The sequence below is a fragment of the Homo sapiens genome, chromosome 11 (genome assembly GCF_000001405.40).
Source record: "Homo sapiens chromosome 11, GRCh38.p14 Primary Assembly".
Classification (NCBI taxonomy): domain Eukaryota; kingdom Metazoa; phylum Chordata; class Mammalia; order Primates; family Hominidae; genus Homo; species Homo sapiens.
In genome coordinates this window covers 116371144-116391223 of record NC_000011.10, presented here as the reverse complement: position 1 = coordinate 116391223, position 20080 = coordinate 116371144, and the positions used below count along the sequence as shown (strand labels likewise).

At 45.7% G+C, this 20080-nt stretch overlaps 1 long non-coding RNA gene across 1 annotated transcript in view, besides 3 other annotated features; it reads left to right on the top strand.

Moving 5' to 3' along the window:
- Window positions 1-20080, top strand: part of LOC107987166 (uncharacterized) — a 160015-nt gene that overhangs the window by 83002 nt on the left and 56933 nt on the right. The window lies entirely within an intron of this gene.
- Window positions 11485-11685: a silencer, noted in NCBI's record as "peak1479 fragment used in MPRA reporter construct". NCBI's record gives its function as "represses an SCP1 promoter by STARR-seq MPRAs in K562 erythroleukemia cells {active_cell/tissue: K562}" and the evidence as "EXISTENCE:reporter gene assay evidence [ECO:0000049][PMID:32103011]".
- Window positions 11485-11792: a biological region, named in NCBI's record as "Sharpr-MPRA regulatory region 8002".
- Window positions 11498-11792: a silencer, noted in NCBI's record as "tiled region #8002; HepG2 Repressive non-DNase unmatched - State 10:DNaseD, and K562 Repressive non-DNase unmatched - State 10:DNaseD". NCBI's record gives its function as "represses a minimal TATA promoter and a strong SV40 promoter by Sharpr-MPRA in HepG2 cells, with weaker repression in K562 cells {active_cell/tissue: HepG2 | K562}" and the evidence as "EXISTENCE:reporter gene assay evidence [ECO:0000049][PMID:27701403]".

Here is a 20080-nt window from a genome sequence, read left to right as displayed (position 1 = left end):
CTGCCCCCATGATTCAATTACCTCCCACCAGGTCCCTCCCACAACACATGGGAATTATGGGACTACAATTTAAGATGAGATTTGGGTGGGAACACAGCCAAACCATATCAGGATGCATCTCTAAATCTTCTTGCTCACAGCTACATTTTTGTCAGAGGACACATCCTTGTCTTAGGCAGATGATAATTAACAGATGTACTTGAGAAATACCTGGAGAATTAGGCTTTTCCTGGGTCCTGATCTGTCCTCTGCTGGGTTTCTTACCTCTTGCCTCCACTTGCAGAAAATTGAGCTGGAGGTGGAGAATGTGGCTTTTCCAACTCTGCAAGCCTAATTATGTATAGCCAGACCCCTGGCAATTATATTGCAGACAACAAGCTAAAAGGGTCACCTTTTAGCAAATTCTCATTTTCTTCTCCAGCTGTGTTCAGGTGAGGCAGTTTTAAACCTTACTAAAAGCTTCAAAAAGTAGCCTTCACCCTCAGACACCTTGAATTTTTGCTAACAAATTCTGGCATGCTGAAGTCTTGGCAAATACGCAATATGACTCTTGAGATAAAAAAGTCTATAGTAGGAGCCAGGTGCAGTGGTGTGCACCTATAGTCCCAGCTACTTAAGAGGCTGAGGTGGGAGGATTGCTTGAGCCCAGGAGTTTGAGACCATGTTGAGACCCTGCCACTAAAAAAACAAACAAACAGAAAGGCTATATAGTTTAATCAGCTGTTTTGCTACCTCAGAACAAGAGTGACCAACCTCCTGGCCCAGGATAGTTGATATGGTTTGGCTGTGTGTCCCCACCCAAATCTCATTTTGAATTGTAATCCCCATGTGTTGAGGGAGGAAACTGTAGTCCCCACATGTCAAGGAAGGAAAGTGATTGGATTATGGGGGCAGTTTCTCCCATGCTGTTCTCGTGATAGTGAGTGAATTCTCACAAGATCTGATGGCTTTATAAATGGTAGTTTCTCCTGCACACTCCCTCCTGCCACCTTGTGAAGAAGGTGTCCGCTTCCCCTTCTACCATGATTGTAAGTTTCCTGAGGCCTTCCCTGTCATGTGGAACTGTGAGTCAATTGAATCTTCTTTGTTAATAAATTACCCAGTCTCGGGTAGCATCATTATAGCAGTGTGAGAATGGATTAATACAGTAAATTGGTACTGCAGTGAGGGGGTGCTGCTATAAGGATGCCTGAAAATGTGGAAGCACCTTTGGAACTGGGTAACGGGCAGAGGCTGGAACTGTTTGGAGGGCTCAAAAGAATACAGGAAGATGCGGGAAACTTTGGAACTTCCTAGAGCCTTGCTGAATGTTTTTGACCAAAATGCTGACAGTGATATGAACAATGAAGTCCAGGCTGAGGTGGTCTCAGATGGAGATGAGGAACTTACTGGGAATTGGAGCAAAGGTCACTCTTGCTATGCTTTAGCAAAGAGACTGGCATTTTAGTGAAATCTTCATTGCCTTCCCCTTTACCTCCTTAGCTCCATCAATTGATGAGATTACATTCTATGTGGGTTTTGGGTAACAGAAAACTCAAGCTGAACCAGCTCAATCAGTAAAGAAGATGTATTGCTTACGAAACTAAAGTCCAGAGATAATGGAGGATATCACATATGGCTCAATCCAGAAAATCCTCTCCCTTTCTCTGAACCACTGGCCATTGTGTTGGCTTTCCCAGAAGCCTGGATTCCTGGGATACAAGACAGCTATAGTTATCTTAAGGGGTTTCAGGCCTGTGCCTGGAGAGCTTGAAAAACTACTGATGGCTGAATCCTATCCCCAGAGATTCTGGGGTGTGCAGCCAACGTTGAAAATCAATACTAACCTTGATTAGTGAAAATACTAATTAATTGAAATACTAATCTTGAGAAGTGAAAAAGTATAAGAAGTGTTATTCTAAAGCAACTGGTACTGAAAGGTAAAATTAAAAGAGTTTAGGATCTACCATATTTTATCAAGTCTAAGATGCCATTGACTTTATGATTGAAAGATGCATCATTACTTTATGTACCACTAAAAAAGAAAAAATGTTTATTAAACTACAATCCTCTACCAGTTGTTTCCTGCATCCTGATTTCAGAGATAAAAATATGAAAAAAAGTGTGGTCGCTGAATCCATGAAATAAGGTATATATTGGGCCGGGTGCGGTGGCTCATGGCTGTAATCCCAGCACTTTGGGAGGCCAAGGCGGGTGGATCACCTGAGGTCAGGAGTTCGAGACCAGCCTCAACATGTAGAAACCCCGTCTCTACTAAAAACACAAAATTAGCCAGGCCTGGTGGTACATGCCTCTAATCCCAGCTACTCGGTAGGCTGAGGCAGGAGAATTGCTTGAACCTGGGAGGCGGAGGTTGCGGTGAGCCGAGATCGCGCCATTGCACTCCAGCCTGGGCAACAAGAGTGAAACTCCATCTCAAAAAAATAAAAAAAATAAAAAATAAAAAATAAATAAATAAATAAATAAAATAAGGTATATATCTGAAGGAGGATTACCCTTTAAAGTAGTCATCCCAGAAGGAGTAATTGTACAAAGATTCCCTTGAAGTTACTTCATTGGAAACACCTGTAGATTGTTTTGCCTTTGCCTTCAGAATCCATTTTCTATTTATACAAGAAAATCATAGCATTTTGGAGCTGGAGGACACATTATAGACCATCCAGACCAACCCCCGGATCGATTTAATTATAGTTACACCTTGTTTTAGACTAAAAGTGGTATTTCCCAGCTTTAATCTCTTACTCTATTCACCATTCTTGGCTCTGGATAGCTTTGAATTGTTTCCAACAATCAAAACCACCCTCCAAGGTTGAAGATTTGCCACCAATGAGGCTATTTAAAGTCATGTGCAACAGTTCTGCTGGCAGTTACCAGAGTGGGAGCTGAGGAGGGGGTAAGTAATGAAGCTGCTTTTGGAATCAGCCCATATTCTCACTTTGATGTTTATGTTATGTTACATCATGATCAGTCACATGGCTGAGCTTTATTCCCCAGAGGAAAGCTGCTAGGGCACCAGGGGGGCACACTGTAAATGAGACAGGTATGATGCCCGCCCCTCCTTACTGGTTCTTCTTCAAATATAGGAGACCCAGTAGAGACTGGAGGGGAAAAACCTCAAATAAAGGACAATCTAATGTATATGAGATAGTTTGCAAGCCCATCTGAGGAAAGCCAGAGAGCCTTCCTTTTTTTGTTTTGCAGAGAGAGAAATTAAGATCCAGAGAGAGTAGGTGGCTGGGCCAGGGTCATAGTAAGTTGGATTTGAGCCCAAGGCAGCACTGAGGCTCTTGCTTCCCAGCTGGCCTGTGCTATCTCCTCTCTTCTTAATGCCTCATAGCATTTATGCAGCTCAGGGTTTGAGGGGATGCTGTGGCCATAAATTAGGCAGGAGGCCAAGGAAGGGGTCGGTCTTCCAAGCCTAGAGCACTTGAGGCCAGGGCTTACACAGCACGCTCAGCCTGCTAGTCTGTCCATGTGATTAAGCCTGTCTACAGCTCCAGTATGGAGCACAGATCCAGGATCAAAGGTGAATCAACCCTTGTCCTGAGGTCTCCAGGAAGTCACTCAAATCATATATTCTTTTTCAGTTATAATTCAGGTAGGTGATGAACTTGGCAATGATGGATTATGGTTGGGGGATTAGAGGCTGAGCCAGTAATTTATGCCAAAATGGCTGGAGGAGCGCTCATGAAAACTTTTCACAATAGTCTGGAAAGGCAAGGGGAGAGAACAGATCTCTGAGAGGGGCAACTGTGATTGGGCTTGAGAGCCTCTCCTGCTCCCATCTCAATCATACACCAATGCAGTGGTAACTGGCTGGCTTCTATCTTCTCTCACTTGAGCTTCCTCTCCTTTATCTCCCTGCAGCTCCTTTCCTTGTCCTCATCATCCTTTTCTCCATCATATAAGGACATATCTTAAAGTCTGTAATAAGGCACCTTAATTTGCATTTCCAACAAGCTTCCAGGTGATCTGTTGCTGCCACATTGAGGATCATGCTTGAAGTGGCCTTGGTCTAGGGTAGTGTGGTCCAAGTTCTCCAAGCATGGTCCTTAGACCAGTAGCATAAGCATCATTGGAGAACTTGTTAAAAATGCAAATTCTCAGGCCGGGTGCAGTGGCTCATGCTGTAATTCCAGCACTTTGGGAGGCCTATGTGGGCAGATCACTTGAGGTCAGGGGTTTGAGACCAGCCTGGCCAACATGGTGAAATCTCATCTCCACTAAAAATACAAAAATTAGCCAGCCATAGTGGCACATGCCTGTAATCCCAGCTACTTGGGAGGCTGAGGCAGGAGAAGCACTTGAACCTGGAAGGCAGAGGTTGCAATGAGCCAAGATTGCACCACTGCACTCCAGCCTGGGCAACAGAGTGAGACTTTGTCTCAAAAAAAATAAAAACAAAAAAATTCAAATTCTCAGGTTCCCCAGACCTACTGAGTCAGAAATCCTAAAGGCAGAGTCAGAAATCTGCTTTTCCAAGCCCTCCAGGTTGTTCTCATATAAGCTAAGTGATTGCCAACCCATTGAGCTAGTAGTAGTATTCTTCAGACATGGCTAAACTTCAGAATCTCTGTTCTAAAAAATACTGGTGGCCTCACCTACCACCAGTTAACTAAGTATCTCTGGGCTTGTTTGGGCAAGTATACTTTTAAACAGCTTTCCAAGTGATTCTGATGCACAATGAATATTCAAACGCAGGCATCTAGCCTAACAGCTTGCAGGTTCCAAACAGGTTCTGAGAAGGAAACTGGCTTGCCAGGGCCGCAGAGCTGCTGCAGCCTACTGGAGCTCCTGGTTCCCTTGCCCTGAAGTTGCCATGTTTCTGGGCATGTGTGGGCTCTGTGGCTCCTGCGCAGGCCTTTGTTCTACCCTGAACTATGCCTCAGAGCACTGGGCCCCCACCTGCGTGCTCCGTCAGGCGGGGCCTAACCTTGCCGACAACACAGGACCTGTTTTCTGGACTCTGCGCTCTTCAGCTCTGCCCACCTATCTGTAGAGCACACCCTCCAGAAGGGGATTATCCCTTCTGGGACATCATTTCTTTTCCCGGCTTCCCTGCACCCACAGGTGAGATCCTGGGAAGTGGGAACTTTCAGGGGAGACACATTGGTGATCATTCCTAAGTTCTTTAAAGCCAGTGCGTCCTCTTAGGTTTAGGCTGGGACATCCTCCCCATTTCTCTGATGAAAGCTGTGAGGCGGGGAGAGGCTCACTATGCTCAGCTGTCTCTGCCTCACCTGCCTTCAGGATGCTCTGAGATGGGCCCCGTTGTGGCTTGACTTGTGTCCAATAGCCCCTGTCTCAGCAGGCGTTCCACAGGGCTGAAGCTGGACAGCAGAGGGCCGGGGGCAGGAGTGGGAGTGGGGATGCATGGGTCCCTGGAGAAGCAACTCTTGATTGTCTGAGATTCATCCCCAAAGCCAAAAGTGCCCCCAAATTGATTCTGTTCAGATTTAAATTGAGTTATGGTGTTGTTAGGTATTTTTTCCCCCAAACCATAAGCCAGTTAGGGTTATTTTTTTTATTTTTATTTTTTTTTGAGACGGAGTCTCGCTCTGTCTCCCAGGCTGGAGTGCAATGGCGCGATCTTGGCTCACTGCAAGCTCTGCCTCCCGGGTTCAAGCGATTCTCCTGCCTCAGCCTCCAGAGTAGCTGGGGCTACAGGCGCCCGCCACCACCGCCGGCTAATTTTTTTTAAATATTTTTAGTAGAGACGGGGTTTCACCATGTTAGCCAGGATGGTCTCGATCTCCTGACCTCGTGATCCGCCCGCCTCGAACTCCCAAAGTGCTGGGATTACAGGCGTGAGCCACCGCGCCCGGCCCAGTTAGGCTTCTTAATTGCCTTGAATTTAGTCTAAAATTCAAATAGTTTTCCTGAACTTACCCGGGGGCAGGGATGGTGTTTGTGGATGTGAAGCCAACACGGGGACCCACATTTGCCATGGGTCGTGGCAGTGAGGGAGTTACACACAGCCTCCCTGGTCAATCCTGGGCCTAAGGTGTGTGCCTGCATGTGCATGGGTGTGTCGCAGGCCGGGACATCGGGGTGATTTCTTGGTCTGTCCACCTGTCCCTCACTAATGTTTGGTGCTCTTGCCATGAAGGCAGCTGGTTTCCTGGCACCTGCTGCCTGGCAGATGGGCCTTGACCTTTGTAGCAACTAGCATGGTGTTAGGTAAACAAGACCCCCTGCCCCTTATACTCTCCTGCTCCTGCTGCCAAGGAGTTCTATTTTTGACAGGTTTGGGCCAGGGAGACTGGGAGAGTTGATGGTGGGGCCAGAAGAGTGGGCACCTGCTGAATTGGAGGGGAGAGGCAGATGGTGGCTAGAAACATAGCCTCTCACCCCAGCCAGATTTGGTCTGTCTGCAGGAACCAGGGAGACCCCTCACCACCCTCAACCAAGCCGCTCTGAGGATGCAATGGGGACGGCTGAGGCTGGCAGGAGAAAGGGGTTAAGACCAGGGAGGCCAGTTCCACAGGCTCATCCTCGGTCCTGTGATTGTGAGAAGTGAGAGCCAGGCATCTCCTGACCATAGGGTCCAGCTGCTTACAGCAGGGCTGGGCTGTCCCAGGCCCCCTATTAGTCTGATGGATGGCCCTTGTGCTGCTAATGTGGTTAGGGCGGGCAACAGCCTGGGGGGCTGGGAGCTCAGAGACCGGCCAGTGCAGGCCCTGTTGTAATCACATTTGCCTGTACACAGAAGGGGCGCAGATTACCCACCCAGAAGCCCAGAGGACATTAGTGAAAGTCATTTAGAAATAATTTTTTGCATCAAGCTTTTCTTACCTTATTATTATTATTTTAAACAATCAGTTTCCTGCCCAGGGCACACATGGAAAGGAGCAGCTCTAAGAATGGATTATGGAAGAATGGCCAGGGCAGGTTAACTCCCTGAAGCCCTGAGTCTCCTGGAGTTGGGGGGCTTGGCTTTGCAGTGGAGGGAGCACCCCATGCTTCCTGGCTGGTAAAACACTGAGCTCGTTTCTTCCACTTCCCAGGCCTGAATCACCCCTCTTTTTTTTGTTTAAGAAACTTTTAATTTTAAAATAGCTTTAGTTTTACAAAACATTGTGAGGATAGTACAGAGAGTCCCCACATATCCCCATCTCCAGGTTCCTCTGTGGTTAACCTCCTACCAGAGTAGGGTAGGTTTGTCATAATTAATGAACTAATGTTGACACATTATTATTAACTAAAGTCCATACTTTACTCAGATTTCCTTAGTTTTTACCCAACCTCCATTTTCTGTCCAGGATAGCACATGACATTTAGTTATCTCGTCTCCTTTTGTTTTTTGAGACAGTGTCTTTCGCTGGTGCCCAGGCTGGATGCAGTGGGGCGATCTTGGCTCACTGCAACCTCTGCCTCCCAGGTTCAAGTGATTCTCCTACCTCAGCCTCCTGAGTAACTGGGATTACAGGCGCCCACCACCACACCTGGCTAACTTTTGTATTTTTAGTAGAGATGGGGTTTCACTGTGTTGGCCAGGCTGGTCTCGAACTCCTGACCTCAAGTGATTTGCCTGCCTCAGCCTCGCAAAGTGCTGGGATTACAGGCATGAGCCACCATGCCCTGGCCTGTCTTTCTTCTTAGGTTCCTCTTGGCTGTGAGAGTTTGTCACTTACGATTTTTTTTTTTTAAATTAAGATATAGTTTACATATTATAAAATGCACCCTTTTAGAGTGTGCAGTTCAGTGGTTTTTAGCAGTCACAAAGTTGTGCAACTGTCCCCACTGTCTGATTCCAGAACGTTGTCAACACCCCAAAAAGCAACTTTGTACCCATTAGCAGTCATGTCTCATTCCTCTCTCCCCCTAGCCCCTGGCAACCACTAATCTACTTTCTGTCTCTATGGATTTGCCTTTCCTGGACATTTCATATAAATGGAATCATACAAGATGTGGTCTCTTGCGTCTGGCTGAGCCAGCCACTCTTACACATGCTTTAATAACTTTCATTCTTGTCCTTAGAGTGAAGACAGGCTTCTACAGAAAACACATTCCAGGGACATAGGCACTACTTAACCGTGGAATACTGAGACCAAATCCAGTTGTTTTGACCCTAAGACCGAAGCATTTTTCTGTTATCCATCTATCGAAGCATTCTTTCATTCGGCATTCACCCAGTGTCCTCCAGGTGATAGATTCTGGGGACACAGAGATATCCCTAATATATAATATAATAAACTCCAATCCTAGGCCAAACTATCACCTTCTCTCAGATTATTTTTTAAAATTATTATTATTATTGACATTTTTAAGAGACAAGGTCTTGGTCTGTTGCCCGGGCTGAAGCGCAGTGGTGTGATCCTAGCTTATTGTAGCCTCAAACTCCCAGGCTCAAGCGATCCTCCTGCCTCAGCCTTCTTAGTAGCAGAGACCGCAGGCACATGCCACCACACCTGGCTCTCATCTCTCAGATTATTGCCATGTCTTTCTTGCTGATCTGCTCTGCCCTTGCCCTTCTGCCGTCTAGACTCACCCTGCCAGCCAGGTGATTGGTCCTCGTCTCTACACTGCTCAAAAACATTTAGGTGTGTGTTTGTGTGTGTGTGTGTGTGCGTGTGTGTGTGCTCTAAATTTTATTCAGAGTAAGAATCAAAGTCCTTCCAATGACTACAAGGCTCCCCCGACTATCTGACTCTCTCTTTACTGCTGTCTCTTGCTCTCCCTGACTTAGGCATGCTGGCCTCCACACTTCTCAATATTCTGCCGGACATGCTTCCTAATCAGGACTTTTCCATTTGCTACGTTTTCTGCGGGGATCATTCTTCCCCTGCAAATACCTGCATGGCTCACTGTCTCACCATCTTCAGGTCTATGTGAAAATGTCATTTCAAAAAGTCCTGCCCTGACCACCCTATTTAAAATAGCAACCTTCCTTTCAGGTTCCTCATTCTCTCTTCCTGCTTTATTTTTCTCCAATGCATTTATTCCTCTCTGATGCACTATATATTTTGCTTGTTATCTCTATTCTCCTGTGACAGCATAAACTCCGTAAATAAAGGGATTTTTTTGGGTGTCTCTTACACCTCCGGCTGTATTCTCAATATCTACAAATGTGTTTGCTATATAACATGTGCTCAATAAATAATAGTTGTATAAATTATAAATTCTTCACTCTCCGTCCTTTATCTCTCCATCCTTTAACTCCTTCAATCAGAAATCTCCCAGGAGTTAGTTCTAGTAACAAATATGAGGAGATGGTCCAGGGAGGAGACTTGCTCAGTGGGACCCTCCCCAAGAGATAGAATCAGTATCATTTGGGAGAGCGAAAGTTCAGAAAGACAAATGCTGTCCTCTGTTCTTTTATTTATTGTTAAGGGAGATAATCTTTGTTAAGTGCTATATAAGACTGTTAAAAATAAGTTGTTCATCTATCCAGTCAATACATATTTATTGAATACTTATTCATTTACTAGTATACTATGTGCTGAAGATACAATAGTGAACAAAAAGGGTGAAGGGTGCAACCTCTGCTCTTATGATGTTCACAGTGTGGTGTAGGGGACTGACATTCGACAACTTATTCCACAAATAGCTTCTAAATTGTAATCTATAATACATCCTCTGAAGGAAAAGGATAGAGTGCTATGAGAAGCTGGCAACTAGGGAAACCGACCTAGTCTGGGGGTTAGGGAAGATAAGCAAGAGCTTTCTCAGAGTCAGAGCTGTCCAAAATGGAAAACAGGCTGCTTTACAGCTGAGTTTCCTTTGACTAGAGGGTTTAAGTGGAGTCTGGGAGACTCTTGATGGAGATGTTGTAGAGTGCATTAAGCAAGCATTGGGTGGAGTAGAGGGGGAGCTTTGTATTAAGAAAATAAAGGAATTCAGTTGAATTTCCTGGTCAAATATGAACAAGTCAGTTTTAAATTCTCTCTTGGAAGTGAATTAATTCTACCAGTATTTTTGTGGACCAAAATAAGCATCCTTTGCTATCTGGTGTCTCATTTCAATTGAGTGTACATGGTCCGTGGCAAGGGACTGTGGGTGTACCAGGATGGTGGAGAGACTTATGAATACCAGTCCCTAATAATAATACCCTGTTATCTCTGTGCTGCTGGTTAATTCACTGCTGTGCTTTCCTATCATTATTTCAGTTGAGACTAATAATGACCTTTTTGAACTAGGTGGCCCAGAAATTTTTATCTGAACTTTAATATGTGGGAGAAATTAAGGCACAGAGAGAGATGCTGACTTTCATAAACCATGTCTTCTGATTAAAAAAAAAAATCCCTGTGTGTTTTTATCTATGTATATGGTTAGCTATTGTGAAAATAATGCTGTGTAGCAAATCAACTCTCAGATTCAGTGGCTTAAAACAATAACTATTTATTATCACTCAAGGTTCTGAAGTTCAGCTGAGACACAGCCCACCTAGATTGGGTTCAGCTGGTTGGCTTTGCTTCTCATTTCAGATCTGCAAGTAGCTGGGATGGCTCTGCTCATGTGACTCTCATCCTCCTTTTAGGATCATGGTCAGTCCAGGGTGTATTCTTTGCATAATGAAGCCAGAGGGTCAATGCCTCTTAGGCTTAGAGCTGGGACGCTGTCACTTCTGCTTCATTATATGCCCAAAGAAACTCACATAGTAAACCCAAAGTCAAGGGGAGGAAGAATATACTCCACTCCTTCAGTGTAGTAAACCCAAAGTCAAGGGGAGGAAGAATATACTCCACTCCTTCAGTGGGAAGAATTGCAGAGACACATGGAGAAAGGTGTGTGGATACAGAGAGGGGGTGAAAGATTGAGGTAAAAATTGCAACCCACCCAATTTAATTTGTTCTTTTGTTCACTATTTTTCCACTCAGTTCCAAACAATGTGCCTGGCATTCTGTAAGTTGTTGAGGACACAAAGGTAAGTATAAAATGTTTATTAGCAGACAGTTTCGGCAGAGCGTGAGATGTACTATGAGAGAGGCAATCACAGAAAATCTTGACAGCAGATACTTTCAAGGCCCATAATTTTTTTAAAAATAGGGAGCCAAGAGATGAATCAATGAAGGAACAAAATCAAAGCTGAAAAAATTTTGGGGTTAATTTCACTTATATTTTAACCAGTGAATCCAGTTATGGCAGACATTTAAGCTTGTTTCTAGGTTGCAACATCCCCCTGCTAGTTGTTTTGTTAACTCCTGTTTCCCTTTCAATATTATAGCAAAAAACAAAACAAAACAAAAAAACAAAAGACAAAAAAACAGACAAACAACAACAAAAATCCCTCCTGGAACACATGATCAATTTTAAAGCAAAATGTGGGGAGGAAGATGCGTGGCATCATTTATTCAAGTACATTTAGCAATGAATGTGAGAGGAAAGAATGTGTCTGGGAAGCGGCAGTGAATAAAAAGGAGATGTGGGACAGGTCCTGGGACCTGTAGAATAATAGCATAATAATAAATACTACCACATATTGAGCTCTTTGTGCCAGGTATGATGCTAAGTGCTTTGCATGAGGTAAGTAGTATTAATAATCCTATTTTAAAGATGAGTGGAGTGGGGTCTCAGAGTAGAGCAAAGTGATCCAATTTCCTGGCTGAATGGGGAGTAGAAAAACGATGAAGCCATAGCTTCCCAGGTCAGCACCATGGACAGCAGACTCCCCTGCCCGAGAACTCGGGGGTAAGATTTCTGCAGGGTGAATTTCCATAAGCAGAATAATAGAAATGTTTTAGAGCAGATTATTTATAACATACCCACCCTTTTCCCTAGAATGAGCTTTGATAACTAGGAACCACTTTTTTGCTAAGGACTTGATAGTGTTTGTTGTGTGGGGACTGGGGAGGGGGCAGTTTGGGATGCGAAAATTTGAAGACAGGATCTGGGAAAGAGCCATGTTCTTCTGCATAATAAAGCAGCAGTGAGAGATTTGGAAGCAACATTGGATAAGGGAGTGAGAAACTCCCAGGGAATATGTGGATAGTTAGGAAGGAGTAGTCCCAAGAGGGGACAAGGAATAGAGGGGACTCGGGCTAAAAAGAGAGAGAACTAGGGAAATGTTAAAAGAGGAGTCCGATGGGGCACGTAAAGCAAATCTTCATCTTCTTTACCAAATGTTCAGTAAACCCCATACCATTGACTTACATGCAACTGGATTTATTTGGGAGCTTGAAGCAGATCCTGAAAAGGACAGTAAGATCTGTGTCCCACATGTGAACGCATGCAAATTAAGATTGACTGGCTGGAGAGTTTTTCCACTGGGTGTGGTAGTGAAGACCTTCTAGAGTTTCAGTTCCTGTGTTTCAGCTTGGTCTCCCTAGTCACCTTATCTTTTGGAGGGCAGGAATGCTGCCTCTTCTACCTTCCTCCCTTCCATGGACTGGAACATTGATGGGCACACATTACTACCCAGGACATACTGAAGAGTTTATTTCCTCTGGCTGAGTCCCATTCAGAAAAGAACCATGGGTTTTCCTTTGCTTATAGCAGTCAGAGTTCCCAGAGTTTCCAAGTCATCGGCATTTTTTTTTTTTTTTTTTTTTTGAGATGAAGTCTCGCTCTGTCACCCAGGCTGGAGTGCAGTGGCAAGATCTTGGCTCACTGCAACCTCTGCCTCTTGGGTTCAAGCGTTTCTTTTGCCTCAGCCTCCTGAGTAGCTGGGACTACAGGTGCATGCCACCACACCAGGCTAATTTTTGTACTTTGAGTAGAGATGGCATTTCACCATGTTGTCCAGGATGGTCTCAATCTCCTGACCTTGTGATCCACCTGCCTTGGCCTCCCAAAGTGTTGGGATTACAGGCGTGAGCCACCGCACCTGGCCGTCATTGGCAATTTTAAGTAATCTTTCCCATTGTTATCATAAGTGCACCTCAACTGGTCAGACCATGGATTTGAATTTCAGGCTCAGACACAGTGGTTACAATGCTTATAGGATCAATATAGATACACACTAATACCCAGAACTGACCTGCTTGTGCTAGGTCACAAGCAAACTCTCAACCTACAAACAATTTGACCTAGCAAGGGAAACATGGGATGCGCAGGGATGTCTGAGTGTGGAGTTCCCCATTCCCATGGAGAAAACTGCTTTTTTATCCCAATTCGGAGTCCTTAGGGAGCAACTGACCAAGAAGCCTCCACATCTACAGAAGCATCTTCTTTTACTTGGGTCTGGAAATGTGGTGCAAAACCGCTGGGGGTGAGGCAGTGGTAGTGAGATGTTCTCAAAGTCAGTTGTGGAATCTCAATCATTGTCCTATAGAAACCACTATGAGCAATGGCTAAGGGTAGTTGAAAAATGCATGGGGTATTTTATTGATCAAATAGATTTTTGTCACTGGCTTAGAAAGCTAGCAACCAATTTTGGTAGGCAGCACGGAAAAATTACTGGCTTTGGAGTCAGACATACCTGAGTTTGAATCTTGGCTCTACCTCTTACTTGCTATGTAACCTTGGGCATGTCCTGCTACCTCACTGAGCCTCAGTTTCCTCACTTGTAAAATGGGGCAGTTGATATGTACTGATACTTAATACGTTTGTTAAAATAGGGGAACTTCAGTAACAAAACCCAGCAAATCTCAGTGGCTTAACACAATAAAATTTTATTTCTTACTCATGTCACAGTCCAATGCAGGTCAGTAGAGGGGTCTGGCCTGGCTCTATGCAGGCACTCAGGGACCCTGTATCCTTCTATTTAGTGGATGTAATTTTCTGGAGCTTGGGAGCCTTCAACTAGAGCCTCTGCATCGGGCAGGCAGATGGAGGAGAGAGGGCATGAAGGATTGAGCAGTAGGCATTTTTACGGGCTACATTAGGAGGTGGTACATATGATTCCCATCTATCTTCCATGCTCACATGGATGCACCTAATATTAGGAAGGCTGAGAAATGACTGTGTACCTAAGAGGAAAAGGTTACTGACTTGGTGAACAGCAAACCAGTGTCTGCCACTTCTACATGGTGAGGTTGTAATCAGGTGAGGTTGTAATAATAATAATAATAAATACAGAGGGTGTATCTTGATTCCATCAAGCATATCGCAGGACTCAATAAATGTTAGTCCTAGCAGCATTGTTTACACAGGAATGTGAGTATTGCATTTCAAACAAGCAGCTTTAGAAAGGACTTTCAAATCTCAAGTCATTCGTTTGGCGTGTGCTGCCTTTTCTGTCCTTGGCTCCCCAGGAATTCTGATTACTAGGCCATGAGGGGTTAAACTATCCTGCTCTCCTCAGATACTCAACAGCTGGATATCTTTCCAAGGGCCTTCAGCACTCTCCTTCACTGCAGTAAATACATCTGGCATTCCCTATTCTGGAAATACAAGCAACTAGTCAATTGGAAAAGGCGTCTGCTGATGGTAGCATGACAAGCAATATCTAGAACTGCTTGTAATCTCCTTCAGACATCCACTTGCTCCCACCCAGCCCCACTGAACACAAAGGGGCTCCTATTATCTCCATAGCCTTCTGTAGCCAAAAATGCAGATGAACCCTGACCTCATATTCCACTCAACATGCCCTCTGAACAAAGAGCCTTCCTCACATGTTTACATTGCCAGAATAGCAGATAAGTGGGGCACACAGAGCAGGCTTCCAGGAGGTGGGCAGCTGCAGCACAGTGGAAGACATCACTGATTTTGCCTTTGGAAATTGGAAGACTCAGATCTGCAACTCACTAGCTGTGTGGCCTTAGAAAAGTCACTTTACCTTTCTTGCCACAATTCCTCCTTGGTGTAATGAGCATGAGCCCATCCCTTCTTTATCTATGTCACAGGAGGTATTGGGGCTTGAAATATGTACCTGAAATATATCCACACTGCTGATATAAATTACCTAACAAGGGGAGGGAGTATCATGTTTCCACACAAGTGGGTTGGGATACAGAAGTGAAAAGACAATCATCACATCTTAGGCTGAAAGGATCTGGTCTCTCTCCCATTTATGGGCAAGAGGTGACAAGAAAGACCTTATCTCTAAGTTCTCTAGTCTTATCCAGGTTAATCCAGGGATAACCTGGATTGACCTTTGTGGGAGAAGGCAGGAATGCACAGGGCCATAACCTGGTAGGGACTAGTGATTCCTCCTTTTCCAGAACAGGATTCATGAGGGAGAAATGGGAGGATCACCCATTGAGGCCAAGAGACCTCAATCCCATATCATCGGGATCACTAGGATGACAGTTCTTGACATTTGTACCACATTTTATCATTTACAAAGCCTTCTTCCAGGCAACATCATATCACATTCACTGCACACAATAATCTTCATAAAAATGAGGTTCAGAGATGTTGAGTAATTTGCCCAAGATTTCAGAACAAGATCTGTGTGATTCTAGGCCAGGCGTGGTAGCTCACGTCTGTAATCCCAGCTCTTTGGGAGGCTGAGGTGGGTGGATCACTTGAGGTCAGGAGTTCTAGGCCAGCCTGACCAACATGGTGAAATCCTGTCTCTACAAAAATACAAAAATTAGCCGGGCATTGTGGTATGTGCCTATAGTCTCAGCTACTCTGGAGGCTGAGGCAGGAGAATCACTTGAACCCAGGAGGCAGAGGTTGCAGTAAGCCGAAATCATTCCACTGCCCTCCAGCCTGGGCAATAGAGCAACTCTGTCTCAAAAAAAAAAAAAAAAAAAGAAAGAAAAAAAGATAAATGTGATTCTAAAGTTGTAGTTCTTCCCACCCATTCTTGTGCTGTTTTGCCTCTTTATTCCCAGGCACACCTAAGCGTAAAGTTTTTCTTCTACAGACTGGACATGGATAGATGTAAACTCTCAGATCCTTTTTGGTTGAGAAAATAGGAATACCTCTCTGATTCTCTGTATTCCTAACTGTGCCTGGTACATGGTAAAGTGCCCTCTAATGGTTATAAGATGGAAGGTTGAGAGAGCAAATGGGCAGGAAGCAGAGAAAGCCTTGGGTGTTGACAAAAGTTCAGAAATGGATGACCACTGGTATGGTGCTGTGTGAGCTGAAGGAGGATGAATTATGAAAGTGGGAGACAAAGGCCAGGTATGGTGGCTTATGTCTGTAAACCCAGTACTTTGGGAGGCTGGGGTGGGTGGATCGCTTGAGCCCAGGAGTTCGTGACAAGCCTAGGCAACATGGTGAAACCCCATCTCTCCAAAAAAAAAAAACAAGCAAGCAAGCAAGCAAACAAAAACCAACCAACCAAACAAAGACCATACCAAAAAATTACAAAAATTAGCCAGGTGCAATGGCGTGCACCTGTATTCCCAGCTATTTAGGAGGTGGGAGCATTGCTTGAGCCGGGGAGGTAAAGACTGCAGTGAGTTGAGGTCATGCCACTGCATTCTAGCTGGAGTGACAGAGTAGGACTGTCTCAAAAAAAAAAAAAAAAAAAAAGGGAGACAGAGCCCAAATGGACAAGGCTCTCTCACATTCTGTTTAACATTCAGAAAAGTGAAATGTTAAACATGGGCCTTCCTTTTCTGAAGGGCAGAGTACCCAAATGGGCCATAGAGGAATTTAGAGGAGCTCCTAGTAAAGCAAACTCTCTGAGGGCCACAGGGTAGGATTAAAGCTTCACTCAAATGGGTCTGGGGCAGCTGGTTCCTACCCTGTACAGAAAGGCTGATTAGACTCTGGCTTCAGCCAGGGCAGGATGGGAGCCCAGGGGTCTTCTGTTGCAGCAAGTGGGACACAGGTTAGAAGTTCCATGTGGGGCATGTGGAGCATCAGCAGGGTAGTGAATCGGGAGAGAAAGCTCAGACCCACTTCTCCTGGGATGGGGAGGAAGTCTGGCTCTGAGAATACAATGTAGGGGCAGAGCTGGGGGTCTGAGGTCATTGCACATGTAGGCAGCAACTACAGGGCCAACATCCCCCCTGGTGATAGAAGGATGGTAGAGTCACAGCACAAAGACCCAGCCCATGCAGGCAGCGGCACTGAGGGGAAGGGAGGAGGGAGCTGTGATGGTTAATTTCATGGGTTAACTTGACTGAGCTAGGGGATGCCCAGGTGGCTGGTAAAACATTTCTGAGGGTGTCTGTAAGAGTGTTTCTGGAAGAGATTAGCATTTGAATTGGCAGGTTGAGTAAAGAAGATTGCTCTACTGATGTGGGTGGGTACCACTTAATCCACTGGGAGCCTGAAAAGCAAAAAAGTGGAGAAAGGGTGAATATACCATAAGCCCCCCAGTTCTCAGACCTTCAGGTTTGGACCAGAATGACACCACTGGCTTTCCTGAGTTTGCCAATGGCAGATCGTGGGACTTCTCAGCTTCCATAACCACATGAACCAAGCCCTAATAATAAATCTCATTCTGTATATCTATGTAGATCCTATTGGTTCTGTTTGTCTGGAGAACCCTGATGAATACAGAAGCCTTTGAATAATGAAGAGAGTAGAGAGTTTTCTGAGTTGGCTGAATGAGAAGATAAATTTTCTGGCAGGTACTCTGTGTGTGAGAGATGGAGAGACTTCCTTCCTGAGTCTACTGCAGGAATGAAGCATTGAGGGTGCCTCAGCTAAGTGCAGAGTGACTCATCTGCCGAGAACATGGTGTACCAGCCCCATGGTTCCGCCAAGGAGGAGACACAGGGCAAAGCTCCATGCAGGGCTCTTCCTGCCTTGCTGCTTCCCTTGGAGGCCCTCCTGGAGGTGGGGTGTTGCAGGCAGCAGCCACCGCACAGCCACCTTGCCCTTCGAGATTCACAGCCCAGCCCATCCTCCCTGATGAATGTGACCCACCACCGAAACCCCTTCAGCCGCCAAGACAGAGGAGGTCAGGCCCAGTGGCTGCAGACAATGGCCTTATCGGCTGCTGCTAGTGAGGGTATAAGCAGGGGATTGGATGGTATCATTCTAATTTACACGGGATTTTGTTTCTTTCCAGGTACTTAGCATGTGGATGTAGGTGATATCAAAGGCAGAGCATTATACAATAAGTAGGCTTAACCTCCATCTCACCCCCTCTCATCCTTCTGTCTCTTCATTGAGGCCACGAGGAGCTGCAGCTGGGGTTGCCATGGTGACCAATTAGGATTACTGAGATGTTCTAGCAGAGAAAAAAGGGAGTATCGATTTAGCTTTGACAGTGGGGCATCTGGGGACCAGGGGAGGCCAGGGTTTTCAGCATTAATAGGGGGCAGAGTGTGTCACTCTCAAGGCTGTCCTGGGGTTGTGTTGCTTGTGGGTTGGACAACATATGTAGTGGAGGCCTCTGCCTGATTGGAGCTTATGCAACAGTGCTGAGAGGTGGGTGGGGGTATCTGGAGTGGGGTGGGAGTGGTCCCATTCCCAGTAGTAGGAGTGACTGATCCTTAAGGGAAATGGAATTCCTTGGCTCAGTTAGTGGGAAGCTTAGGTGCCCAGACAGGTTCACCCCAGCTGTGAGTTTCCTGTCAATTAAACATTTCCAGGTGGTCTGATGCACTGCCCTGCACTGGGGGTGTAGAAACTAGAGAGGAGTGCACAACATGGACCTTGACTGTCAGGAGCTTTGAATGGGGCAAAACACATGGTACCATCACATGCAAAATCAGGATCCTCAGATGATTATGAAGCCTGAAGCTAAGAGGACACGCAGGGGCCAGGAAGCCTTAGAGGGGGAGATGGGGCTTGAGGCTGAACTAATGCAGCTGTGTGGCTGTGGACAAGTCAGGGAACATCACTGAGCCTGTTTACCCCTCTGTAAACAAAGGCTAATGATACACTGAATAGGAGGGTGTATTAGTCTGTTCTCACACTGCTATAAAGAACTGCCCGAGACTGGGTAATTTAGAAAGGAAAGAGGCTTAATTGACTCACAGCTCAGCATGGCTAGGGAGGCCTCAAGAAACTTACAATCAGGATGGAAAGGGAAGCAAACATGTCTGTCTTCACACGATGGCAGGAAGGAGAAGTGCTGAGTGAAAGAGGGAAAGCTCCGCTTATAAAGCCGTCAGATCTCATGAGACTCACTATCATGAGAACAGCATGGCAGAAACTGCCCCCCATGATTCAGTTATCTCTATCTGGTCTCACCCTTGACATGTGGGGATTATGGGAGCTACAATTCAAGGCGATATTTGGGTGGGGACACAGCTAAACCATATCAGAGGGTTATAAAGATTGGAGCGTACACTGGTGAAGTGCTTGGTACATTCTAAGTGTAGGGAGCTGAGTTGAGAAGACCTGGGGAGAGAGAATGGGCAGTTGGACAAGTATGGGGAAGAGGGTTTGGAGACACAAGGGGGAAGTGAGGCAGCTTCTGGATAGAGGAGGTCTCTAGTTGGGGACTAGAGAGCACATGGTCATAGTGAGAGGTAGAGAAGACTGCTGGCAGCCATGAGGGGGATAGAGGAGGAGGGAGCAGAGAGGCAGAAGGACAGTTTGAAGCATGGAGAGGCAGACAGATCCCCAATATCATGAGGGGAGACTTTTTTCCTTTTACTTTTAGTAGATTTATCTAAAGTTCCTTGGAAGTAAAAAGGGAGTGAGAGGAATTCACCAGCATGTTCCTCATCTCTAGGGAGAAAGGTGGTCCTGTCCCAGGGCTGGGCAGGGCCATGCTGAGTCTGAATCAGCTAGTCCTCTCGTCTGGCCTACGGGGCATCTTCCAGGATGGGCCTCCCTTTCACTCTGTCAGGAACCAGAGCTAAACTAACCGAATCCATGCCTCTCAGGGGCTATTCCAGTCAGACCACACTCAGAGCAATCCCTGCTTCTGCTCACCGCCTGCACCCCACAGGTGCCCCAGGGCTCTTAATTAGAGCAGAGCAATGAAGAGGACCCAGGTAAAACAGCTTCTTCCTCCTCCCTGCCCCCATCCCCTGCCTCTGTGGGATTTAATAACTGCCCTCCTTAAAGATCAGGAGACATGATTAATTCTGACTCGAGGATTATTAAAATGCTTCCAGCAAGCATCTGGCATTAAAAGTTTTAAATCAATTAATCTGTTGTTTGGGAAAGAGCATTCTGGTTAGCACAGCTGCAAGAGGTCATTCAAGTTGCTGTTGGGTTGGGAGAGGCTGTGCTGAGGGAGGGCTTTGCCTCCCCTGGGAGCCAACGACACCCACTGGGCTCCAGGCACTTCCCCTGGCTCCCGAGCCAGGCTTCTCCCACCCAAATCATGTGTGTCCAATTTTTAAATGGTTTTCTCTCCCATGCCCAGATAAAATACACAATA